Raw genomic sequence first — 12,481 nt, forward strand, 5'->3', positions numbered from 1 at the left:
AGCAGGCCCAGAGCTCCCCTTCTAATGCTGTTTGCCTAAGGCGTGGCCCCATAACTTTAGTGTTTCCCTTTCATTCTACCCAATTTATTGGAGAAGGGGGCTCAGAGAAAATCTGTGTCTCATCTGTGGCACCTTTACCTGGTAACAGTGGGGCTGAGGGAGCAAGAGGAGATATTAAGGTAGATGATGGTTCTTCCTCCCTTCCCTTTTAAGGCTCTTCTGTGTAGAGTGGGGCCAGAGCAGCCCTATCTAAGGCCCATAACATTAAAGATGCTACTGGGACCTGTTGTCCTTGTGCAATTTAAGATTAAATGACAAGAATGTCATTTAAGATTTCTTCTCACTTGTTCCCAGAGCTCTAGGTCTAGTGTACCATCTTCTGGGAACCATGGGTTATGGAAAACAATAGTTTGCATTAGGTCCCTTAATTGGGGCTCCAAGACCAAGGCTCTGCTAGCTTTAAGAAGCTGTTTCAATATCTTTATATACTGTTGCTGTTGAGTGAATAACTGTTGTTCATTTTTGAGGGTTTTGTCATGATCCATTGCTCTGTTCCTCACACAGGGCACCACCAATAGCCTTTATAGTCTCAGCCATAGTCATCCTAGCCACTGCTAGTGTTGCTGTTGCATCTATTACTGAATCAGTACAAACAGCTACCTTTGTGGATAGCCTGGCCAGATATGTGTCTAACGAATTTCTCCTACAGCAGGGAATAGATCAAAAAATTGTTGCACATTGGCAAGCCCCCAAGGCTGCCTTGGAGTATGTAGGAAAATAACAAGATGTACTGGCATTCTGACAGCAATAATATTGGGAACATAAGCATATTTGTGTCACCTCTCTACCATGGAATCGATCAATACAAAGTTGGGATGAGGTGAAACAACAACTCTGTGGAACCTTACATGATAATGTAACAGCAGACGTAAAGCAACTTAAAACAACAGTTCTAGAATCCCTAAACACTATAAATCTACACACCCAACAAGCAGCCATATGGAAGGATGTGCAAGAACATCTCTCCTAATAGACCCCCTCTCCTGGGGGACCCTCCACTCCTTGATTGGAAAAGAATAATACTGATTATATTCATATTTGTCTTATGTTATTTAGTAATTCTAGGATGCAAAGCCTGAACACAAGCTATAACTGCTGCACCTGTCAAACCTGTGCCTGCACATCTCTGTACTCTTCAATCAGAAAACCTGAGGCAAAAAAGGGGGAAATGTGGGAGATCGATCACAGTGATGCAAGAAACTATAGGGAAAAGAACAGGCCTTCTGAAAAGTTGGAAGGCTCTGCATAGCTTTGGGGTACAATATCTAAAGGCAGTTGTTCTCTAACCCTGAGGCAGAGGGTGAGGAGTATATGCAAGGGAGTGAAGGGGAAGTTATCTTGATCAGGCTTGTTTGAAGTTGTCCAGGAACTGACCTTTGATCATCCACACTGGTGATGTTTCCTGAAAGGGGAACAATAAACGTTAATTACCGGATTGTGTTTGCTCCAGGCTTTTGGCATTGTGCCTGCACTGACTAAAAGCAAGCAGCTTGAACTTCTCATGACTGAACTCTGGCCACTTGAGCCAGATAGTCCCCTAGCTGCTCTTACAATGCATATCTGTGTCTGAGTACTCATTTTATCCATCGGCAAGGGTCTGTGGGGCAGACCCGCACTCGCCCTGTCACCCAGGCTCAAGTGCAATAACATGATCTCGGCACACTGCAACCTCCACCTCCTGGGTTCAAGTGATTCTCCTGCCTTAGCCTCTGGAGTAGCTGGGATTGCAGGCATGCACCACCACACCCAGCTAATTGTTGGTATTTTTAGTGGATACAGGGTTTCACCATGTTGACCAGGCTGGTCTCGAAATCCGGACATTGTGATTCACCCACCTCAGCCTCCCAAATTCCTGGGATTACAGGCATGAGCCACCATGCTCAGTGGGTAATATTGCCTTTTTTGCTTGGGCTGTGCCCTTAGAAGGCATTGAGACATACTGCTGAGCCCACCACTAACATGATGTGAGTTCTCTGCCTACCCCTGACCACAGGAAGCATTGTGACATATTTCTTGACCCATTACAATCTCTCCTATGAGCAAAGCTCAGGTAAATGCCCTTTTTACCTATGTGACGTGACATTTCTCTTCTGCCTGGGCCATGCCCACAGATTAGAGAGTGACTTACTGCTGAAGCAAGAAAAACAGTGATGTAATTATTCTGCCTGGTCCCTGCACACAGGAGTCACTGTGGTATATGTTTAGGCCTCCCACCTAGATGATGTGACTCTTTTCTTCTGGGGTTTGTCCTCAGTGGGAATTCTGATATGACACGACATAGCTCCTATGAGATGTGACTCTTCCTCATTTTTAGCTTCTTCTCACTGGGGTGATAGGAACATAAAGCTAAGCCAAGCACCTAGGCTATGTCTCTCCTCTTATTTAGGAGCCCTACCCACAAGGGACATTGTGACATAGCTCTAGGCTTCTCACCTTGGTAATGTGACTTTGTGCCTAGGCCCTCCCCTCAGGGGTACTGTGAAATACTGCTGGACCAAGAACCTAGGTGATGTGACTCTCTGTTACTGCTTGGAGTGTGCTTAAGAAGAAATTGTGGGCTGGGTGCAGTGGCTCACACCTGTAATCCCATCACTTTCGGAGGCCAAGGCAGGCGGATCATGAGGTCAGGAGATTGAGACCATCCTGGCTAACACGGTGAAACCCTGTCTCTACTAAATATACAAAAAATTAGCCAGGTGTGGTGGCGTGCACCTGTAATCCCAGCTACTCAGGAGGCTGAGGCAGGAGAATGGCATGAACTCGGGAGGCAGAGCTTGCAGTGAGCCAATATTGCACCACTGCACTCCAGCCTGGGCGACAGAGCGAGACTCCATCTCAAAAAAAACAAAACAGAACAAATAAAAAAAAAAGAAGAAATTGTGATGCACATTTATGTGCATCCAGCACCTGAGTGATGTTACTCTCCTGTCCTTCATGAGACCTGCATGCATCATGTATTTCAACATATCTGTGGGTCTAACAACATGGTGATGTGACTTTCCTGCATGGGCTCTCACACAGAAATATTCTAACACAAGTTTTTATTTATTATCTTGGTGATGTGACTTTTCTTTTCTGCTTGAGCACTGCCAAAAGAAAAGATTGTGACAAATCGCTGGACCCAGCACCTAGGTGATGTGAATCTCTTCACTTGCCTGAGAGGTGCATATTTTGGTTATTGTGACATATCACTGAAACAAACACGTAGGGGTTGGAAGGCTTCTGCCTGAGCCCCTTCCACAGAGGGCCTTGGAATATATTTTTTTTATCCATCGCTGGGAGATGAAACCCTCTACTTCTACCTGCATTCTTCCCATAGAGAAGATGGTGATATATTGCTGGGCCCAGCAACCAGGTGTTTTGTCTATCTTTTCTGGGCTTTGCCTACAGTGAGCCTTGTGATATATTTAGCTGAGCCCAGCACCCAGGTGATCGTACTCTTCTTCCTGTGCCCTGCTTTCAGGAGAGGATTGTAACATCTCTGGTTGAAGACCCTGTGATGTGACTCTCCTGCCTGGTGCATACTCTCAGGAAAGATTGTGACATAACCCTGGCCCAACACACAGTTGGTGTGACCCTCGTGCTTGTTCTCTACTCACAGGTGGAATTGTGACATATAACTTGGTCAAGCACACAGATGTAATGATGACTTTCAACCTCGAAGAGCCAGTAGGAGAGATAACGTTGCTCATAGCTACTTTTAGGAAAACAAAAAATCCTGGGTTTTCCTTCTGTAAAAATGTCATAGAGAATTACCACTCTCTCACATATATAAGGCCCCAGTGTGTCACAGACAATGTCATAACAGAGTTCACCATACAGATGAGATTGTGTTTGTCCTATGCACAGCCCAGCAACCTTTAGAATTGTCACCATCACACATGGACAGAGCCCACTGGTGGGGCCCTGAATCTCACATGAATGCACTCCACAGTTGGAACTTTGTCATATGTGAACATCTGGCCACAGTTGAGATGGTGACTCATTTCTTTTCTTTTTTTTTTTTAAGTGCCAAGTTATTCTTTTTTTTTAAATTTTTTTTTTATTATACTTTAAGTTTTAGGGTACATGTGCACATTGTGCAGGTTAGTTACATACGTATACATGTGCCATGCTGGTGTGCTGCACCCACTAACTCATCATCTAGCATTAGGTATATCTCCCAGTGCTATCCCTCCCCCCCTCCCCCCACCCCACAACAGTCCCCAGAGTGTGATGTTCCCCTTCCTGTGTCCATATGATCTCATTTTTCAATTCCCACCTATGAGTGATAATATGCGGTGTTTGGTTTTTTGTTCTTGTGATAGTTTACTGAGAATGATGATTTCCAATTTCATCCATGTCCCTACAAAGGACATGAACTCATCATTTTTGATGGCTGCATAGTATTCCATGGTGTATATGTGCCACATTTTCTTAATCCAGTCTATCATTGTTGGACATTTGGGTTGGTTCCAAGTCTTTGCTATTGTGAATAATGCCGCAATAAACATACGTGTGCATGTGTCTTTATAGCAGCAAGATTTATAGTCTTTTGGGTATATACCCAGTAATGGGATGGCTGGGTCAAATGGTATTTCTAGTTCTAGATCCCTGAGGAATCGCCACACTGACTTCCACAATGGTTGAACTAGTTTACAGTCCCACCAACAGTGTAAAAGTGTTCCTATTTCTCCACATCCTCTCCAGCACCTGTTGTTTCCTGACTTTTTAATGATTGCCATTCTAACTGGTGTGAGATGGTATCTCACTGTTGTTTTGATTTGCATTTCTCTGATGGCCAGTGATGGTGAGCATTTTTTCATGTGTTTTTTGGCTGCATAAATGTCTTCTTTTGAGAAGTGTCTGTTCATGTCCTTCGCCCACTTTTTTTGATGGGGTTGTTTTTTTCTTGTAAATTTGTTTGAGTTCATTGTAGATTCTGGATATTAGCCCTTTGTCAGATGAGTAGGTTGCGAAAATTTTCTCCCATTTTGTAGGTTGCCTGTTCACTCTGATGGTAGTTTCTTTTGCTGTGCAGAAGCTCTTTAGTTTAATTAGATCTCATTTGTCAATTTTGGCTTTTGTTGCCATTGCTTTTGGTGTTTTAGACATGAAGTCCTTGCCCATGCCTATGTCCTGAATGGTATCGCCTAGGTTTTCTTCTAGGGTTTTTATGGTTTTAGGTCTAACGTTTAAGTTTTTAATCCATGTTGAATTGATTTTTGTATAAGGTGTAAGGAAGGGATCCAGTTTCAGCTTTCTACTATGGCTAGCCAGTTTTCCCAGCACCATTTATTAAATAGGGAATCCTTTCCCCATTGCTTGTTTTTCTCAGGTTTGTCAAAGATCAGATAGTTGTAGATATGCGGCATTATTTCTGAGGGCTCTGTTCTGTTCCATTGATTTATATCTCTGTTTTTGTACCAGTACCATGCTGTTTTGGTTACTGTAGCCTTGTAGTATAGTGTGATGCCTCCAGCTTTGTTCTTTTGGCTCAGGATTGACTTGGCGATGCGGGCTCTTTTTTGGTTCCATATGAACTTTAAAGTAGTTTTTTCCAATTCTGTGAAGAAAGGCATTGATAGCTTGATGAGGATGGCATTGAATCTGTAAATTACCTTGGGCAGTATGGCCATTTTCACGATATTGATTCTTCCTACCCATGAGCATGGTATGTTCTTCCATTTCTTTGTATCCTCTTTTATTTCCTTGAGCAGCAGTTTGTAGTTTTCCTTGAAGAGGTCCTTCACGTCCCTTGTAAGTTGGATTCCTAGGTATTTTATTCTCTTTGAAGCAATTGTGAATGGGAGTTCACTTATGATTTGGCTCTCTGTTTGTCTGTTGTTGGTGTATAGGAATGCTTGTGATTTTTGCACATTGATTTTGTATCCTGAGACTTTGCTGAAGTTGCTTATCAGCTTAAGGAGATTTTGGGCTGAGACAATGGGGTTTTCTAGATATACAATCATGTCATCTGCAAAGAGGGACAATTTGACTTCCTCTTTTCCTAATTGAATACCCTTTATTTCCTTCTCCTGCCTAATTGCCCTGGCCAGAACTTCCAACACTATGTTGAATAGGAGTGGTGAGAGAGGGCATCCCTGTCTTGTGCCCATTTTCAAAGGGAATGCTTCCAGTTTTTGCCCATTCAGTATGATATTGGCTGTGGGTTTGTTCTAGATAGCTCTTATTATTTTGAAATATGTCCCATCAATACCTAATTTATTGAGAGTTTTTAGCATGAAGGGTTGTTGAATTTTGTCAAAGGTCTTTTCTGCATCTATTGAGATAATCATGTGGTTTTTGTCTTTGGTTCTGTTTATATGCTGGATTACATTTATTGATTTGCGTATAGTGAACCAGCCTTGCATCCCAGGGATGAAGCCCACTTGATCATGGTGGATAAGCTTTTTGATATGCTGCTGGATTCAGTTTGCCAGTATTTTATTGAGGATTTTTGCATCAATGTTCATGAAGGATATGGGTCTAAAATTCTCTTTTTTGGTTGTGTCTCTGCCTGGCTTTGGTATCAGAATGATGCTGGCCTCATAAAATGAGTTAGGGAGGATTCCCTCTTTTTCTATTGATTGGAATAGTTTCAGAAGGAATGGTACCAGCTCCTCCTTGTACCTCTGGTAGAATTCGGCTGTGAATCCATCTGGTCCTGGACTCTTTTTGGTTGGTAAGCTATTGATTATTGCCACAATTTCAGATCATCTTATTGGTCTATTCAGAGATTCAACTTCTTCCTGGTTTAGTCTTGGGAGAGTGTATGTGTCCAGGAATTTATCCATTTCTTCTAGATTTTCTAGTTTATTTGTGTAGAGGTGTTTGTAGTATTCTCTGATGGTAGTTTGTATTTCTGTGGGATCAGTGGTGATATCCCCTTTATCATTTTTTATTGTGTCTATTTGATTCTTCTCTCTTTTTTTCTTTATTAGTCTTGCTAGCGGTCTATCAATTTTGTTGATCCTTTCAAAAAACCAACTTCTGGATTCATTAATTTTATGAAGGGTTTTTTGTGTCTCTATTTCCTTCAGTTCTGCTCTGATTTTAGTTATTTCTTGCCTTCTGCTAGCTTTTGAATGTGTTTGCTCTTGCTTTTCTAGTTGTTTTAATTGTGATGTTAGGGTGTCAATTTTTGATCTTTCCTGCTTTCTCTTGTGGGCATTTAGTGCTATAAATTTCCCTCTACACACTGCTTTGAATGTGTCCCAGAGATTCTGGTATGTTGTGTCTTTGTTCTCGTTGGTTTCAAAGAACATCTTTATTTCTGCCTTTATTTCGTTATGTACCCAGTAGTCATTCAGGAGCAGGTTGTTCAGTTTCCATGTAGTTGAGCGGTTTTGAGTGAGATTCTTAATCCTGAGTTCTAGTTTGATTGCACTGTAGTCTGAGAGACAGTTTGTTATAATTTCTGTTCTTTTACATTTGCTGAGGAGAGCTTTACTTCCAAGTATGTGGTCAATTTTGGAATAGGTGTGGTGTGGTGCTGAAAAAAATGTATATTCTGTTGATTTGGGGTGGAGAGTTCTGTAGATGTCTATTAGGTCCGTTTGGAGCAGAGCTGAGTTCAATTCCTGGGTATCCTTGTTGACTTTCTATCTCATTGATCTGTCTGATGTTGACAGTGGGCTGTTAAAGTCTCCCATTTTTAATGTGTGGGAGTCTAAGTCTCTTTGTAGGTCACTCAGGACTTGCTTTATGAATCTGGGTGCTCCTGTATTGGGTGCATATATATTTAGGATAGTTAGCTCTTCTTGTTGAACTGATCCCTTTACCATTATGTAATTGCCTTCTTTGTCTCTTTTGATCTTTGTTGGTTTAAAGTCTGTTTTATCAGAGACTAGGATTGCAACCCCTGCCTTTTTTAGTTTTCCATTTGCTTGGTAGATCTTCCTCCATCCCTTTATTTTGAGCCTATGTGTGTCTCTCCATGTGAAATGGGTTTCCTGAATACAGCACACTGATGGGTCTTGACTCTTTATCCAATTTGCCAGTCTGTGTCTTTTAATTGGAGCATTTAGTCCATTTACATTTAAAGTTAATAGTGTTATGTGTGAATTTGATCCTGTCATTATGATGTTAGCTGGTTATTTTGCTTGTTAGTTGTTGCAGTTTCTTCCTAGTCTCGATGGTCTTTATATTTTGGCATGATTTTGCAGTGGCTGGTACCGGTTTTTCCTTTCCATGTTTAGCGCTTCCTTCAGGAGCTCTTTTAGGGCAGGCCTGGTGGTGACAAAATCTCTCAGCATTTGCTTGTCTGTAAAGTGTTTTATTTCTCCTTCACTTATGAAGCTTAGTTTGGCTGGATATGAAATTCTGGGTTGAAAATTCTTTTCTTTAAGAATGTTGAATATTGGTCCCCACTCTCTTCTGGCTTGTAGGGTTTCTGCCGAGAGATCCGCTGTTAGTCTGATGGGCTTCCCTTTGAGGGTAACCTGACCTTTCTCTCTGGCTGCCCTTAACATTTTTTCCTTCATTTCAACTTTGGTGAATCTGACAATTATGTGTCTTGGAGTTGCTCTTCTCGAGGAATATCTTTGTGGTGTTCTCTGTATTTCCTGAATCTGAACATTGGCCTGCCTTGCTAGATTGGGGAAATACTCCTGGATAATATCCTGCAGAGTGTTTTCCAACTTGGTTCCATTCTCCCCATCACTTTCAGGTACACCAATCAGATGTAGATTTGGTCTTTTCACATAGTCCCATATTTCTTGGAGGCTTTGCTCATTTCTTTTTATTCTTTTTTCTCTAAACTTTCCTTCTCGCTTCATTTCATTCATTTCATCTTCCATTGCTGATACCCTTTCTTCCAGTTGATCGCATCGGCTCCTGAGGCTTCTGCATTCTTCATGTAGTTCTCGAGCCTTGGTTTTCAGCTCCATCAGCTCCTTTAAGCACTTCTCTGTGTTGGTTATTGGAGTTATACATTCTTCTGAATTTTTTTCAAAGTTTTCAACTTCTTTGCCTTTGGTTTGAATATCCTCCCGTAGCTCAGAGTAATTTGATCGTCTGAAGGCTTCTTCTCTCAGCTTGTCAAAGTCATTCTCCGTCCAGCTTTGTTCTGTTGCTGGTGAGGAGCTGCGTTCCTTTGGAGGAGGAGAGGCACTCTGATTTTTAGAGTTTCCAATTTTTTCTGTTCTGTTTTTTCCCCATCTTTGTGGTTTTATCTACTTTTGGTCTTTGATGATGGTGATGTACAGATGGGTTTTTGGTGTGGATGTCCTTTCTGTTTGTTAGTTTTCCTTCTAACAGACAGGACCCTCAGCTGCAGGTCTGTTGGAGTACCCTGCAGTGTGAGGTGTCAGTGTGCTCCTGCTGGAGGGTGCCCCCCAGTTAGGCTGCTCGGGCGTCAGGGGTCAGGGACCCACTTGAGGAGGCAGTCTGCCCGTTCTCAGATCTCCAGCTGCGTACTGGGAGAACCCCTGCTCTCTTCAAAGCTGTCAGACAGGGACATTTAAGTCTGCAGAGGTTACTGCTGTCTTTTTGTTTGTCTGTGCCCTGCCCCCAGAGGTGGAGCCTACAGAGGCACACAGGCCTCCTTGAGCTGTGGTGGGCTTCACCCAGTTCGAGCTTCCCGGCTGCTTTGTTTACCTAAGCAAGCCTGGGCAAAGGTGGGTGCCCCTCCCCCAGCCTCGCTGCTGCCTTGCAGTTTGATCTCAGACTGCTGTGCTAGCAATCAGCGAGACTCCGTGGGGTAGGACCCTCCGAGCCAGGCACGGGATATAATCTCATGGTGTGCTGTTTTTTAAGCCCGTCGGAAAAGCACAGTATTTGGGTGGGAGTGACCCGATTTTCCAGGTGCCATCCGTCACCCCTTTGTTTGATTAGGAAAGGGAACTCCCTGACCCCTTGCACTTCCCGAGTGAGGCAATGCCTCACCCTGCTTCAGCTCGCGCACGGTGCGTGCACCCACTGACCTGCGCCCGCTGTCTGTCACTCCCTAGTGAGATGAACCCGGTACCTCAGATGGAAATGCAGAAATCACCCATCTTCTGCGTCACTCAGGCTGGGAGCTGTAGACTGGAGCTGTTCCTATTTGGCCATCTTGGCTCCTCCAGATGGTGACTCATTTCTAAACCCTCCTCATAGGAAGGTGAGGACTCTCTCATCTAGACTCAGCCAATTAGAGAGATGTTGACTCTGGGCTTAGAACCATAGAAAAGATTCTGGATTCCCTTCTTGTACGAAGGTCACAGAGGATCACCACTCTTGCATATTGTATAAAGCCCTCAGGTGACATGGTGAGTGTCATAGGAGTTCACAGCACACAGGTGAGATAATGTGTCTTGAATGCATGCCCAAGTGACAGTAAAGATTGTCATTCTCCCACATAAACATATCCCACTGTTGAGGTTCTGAATCTCAGACATGGAGGCTGTGAAAGTTGGAGAATTGACTCTCCTATATGGCCTGGGCCACAGGTGGGCTGGTGAACTTCAGACCAAGAATTCAGCACACATATGAGGCTGTGACTGCACTAACAGAACACAGTCTGCAGAAGAAATGGTAGCTCTTTTGCAAAAATTCTGTCAGCTATTGAGATTGTTACTCATGAACTTAGACCCATCATACAGGAGGTGTTGACTCTCATATCTAGAACATGGACCTGTATGGAATATCTAATCTCATTCCTGGACTTTCCTGCAGGTGTGATTGTGCCTGGTAAGCATTTTAGTGATTTGACTCTCCTGCCTTGGCTCAGCCCTCAGATGAGACTGTGACATATCTCTGGACTCTGCACCTCAAAGAAGTGACTCGCTTTTCCAGGCTTGGTGTTGCCCACAGGTGTCATGGTGACATATGGCTGGGCCTTCCACCCAGGTAATGTGAGTCTTTTCTTGCTTTGTCACTGCCCACAGGGTGCATTGTGATATATTCCTAAATTCTGCACTTAGGTTACATGACTCCATTTTTTTTTTTTTTTTTTGCCTAAGCCCTGAGTATTTTGCATAGTATAACATATTACCAGGCCCAACACCTATAAAATGGGAGGCTTCTGCCTGGGCCTTTCAACAGAGGGCCTTGTGACATATCTCTGCATCAATCACCTAGGAGCTGTGACTTTCTGTTATTGCCTTTACTCTGCTCACAAGAAAAATTACGAATTATCACTAGGCCCAGCTACCAGGTGATGTGTCTCTCTTGCATGGGTCTTGACTATAGAAAGCGTTATTAGCTATTGCTGGGCTCAGCACCCAGGTGATGTGACTCTGCTGCCTGTGTTTTGCTTTCAGGAGAAGGTTGTAACATATTCCTGGCTGAGTATTAAAGTTATGTGACACTCCTGTCTGATCCCTGCCCTCAGTAAAGATTGTGATGTATTCCTGGCCAAAAACCCAGGTGATGTGACTCTCCTTCTCTCTGCCTATTCACAGGTGGGATTGTAAAATATAGTTTGGCCTAGCTCACAGGTGCAATGGTGACTTTCATACCTCTACCCACCTAACAGGAGAGATGCTGTCTTTTGTAGCTAGGCCTATGGTAATGATTATAATCCTGAGTCTCCCTTTTGTACAAAGTCATAGGAAATTACCAATTTCTTGCATACTATATAAATCTCTTGTGGTACAGAGAGTGTCTTCCCAGGGTTCAGCACACAGGGAGATTGTAGTTCTTATGTGCAATGTGCACAGCCCACCAGCTGTTGGGATTGTCACCCTCACACTTGGATAGAGCACACTGGTGAGGCCCTGAATTTCACACAGACACAGTCCACAGTAGAAACTGTGAACTCTCATATGTGAACATCCAGTCAGGGTTGAAATGATGACTGATTTATGAACCCAGTACATTGGAAGGTGAGAATTCTATCTGAACCCATGAAAATTCTACCTGGGCTTAGGGCTAGAGTGAACACAGTTTACAGGAGGAATGAAGGGTCTCAAGCTCCAATCCAGTTCATTGGTGAGGTTATCACTACCTTACTTAGACCCAACATAGAAAATGTGGTGACTCTCATACCTAGAACTGAGACCTGTGCAGGATTGTTAATTCACTACTGGACTTTCCTGCACGAGTGATTATTACATATGCCTATGTTCAGCCCTGAGTGATTTGATTTTGCTGCATGGTCCCAGTCTGAAGGTAAGATTGTGATTCATCACTGGATCCAGCACCTCGGTGATTTGACTCTTCTTTTTTTGGGGACCCCACAAATTTTAAGTATTGTCAATTTTGGCTGAATCCTGCACCCATGTTATATGACTCTCCCAAATGTGCCTTACATGTTGTGCCGTATTGGGGCTCAATATATCACATTAGACATTGTTACATATTGCTGGGTTCAACACCCAGGTGATGTAACTTTTTTTTCTGGGACTGCCTGCAGGGGACCTTGTGACATAACTCAATGTCCATCACCATACTGACGTTACTCTCTTCTCCTGCCTGGTCTCTGCTCACAGAGAAATTGTGACAGATTACTGGCCTAGCA

The 12,481-nt window shown here is 43.3% G+C and overlaps 2 annotated features.

Annotated features, from left to right (window-relative positions):
- Positions 9,301 to 9,801: an enhancer, noted in NCBI's record as "H3K4me1 hESC enhancer chr19:24078454-24078954 (GRCh37/hg19 assembly coordinates)". NCBI's record gives its function as "activates a minimal SCP1, AML or CMV promoter by ChIP-STARR-seq in primed H9 embryonic stem cells {active_cell/tissue: H9 hESC(primed)}" and the evidence as "EXISTENCE:reporter gene assay evidence [ECO:0000049][PMID:30033119]".
- Positions 9,802 to 10,302: an enhancer, noted in NCBI's record as "H3K4me1 hESC enhancer chr19:24078955-24079455 (GRCh37/hg19 assembly coordinates)". NCBI's record gives its function as "activates a minimal SCP1, AML or CMV promoter by ChIP-STARR-seq in primed H9 embryonic stem cells {active_cell/tissue: H9 hESC(primed)}" and the evidence as "EXISTENCE:reporter gene assay evidence [ECO:0000049][PMID:30033119]".

Source organism: Homo sapiens, chromosome 19, assembly GCF_000001405.40.
Source record: "Homo sapiens chromosome 19, GRCh38.p14 Primary Assembly".
Taxonomy (NCBI): domain Eukaryota; kingdom Metazoa; phylum Chordata; class Mammalia; order Primates; family Hominidae; genus Homo; species Homo sapiens.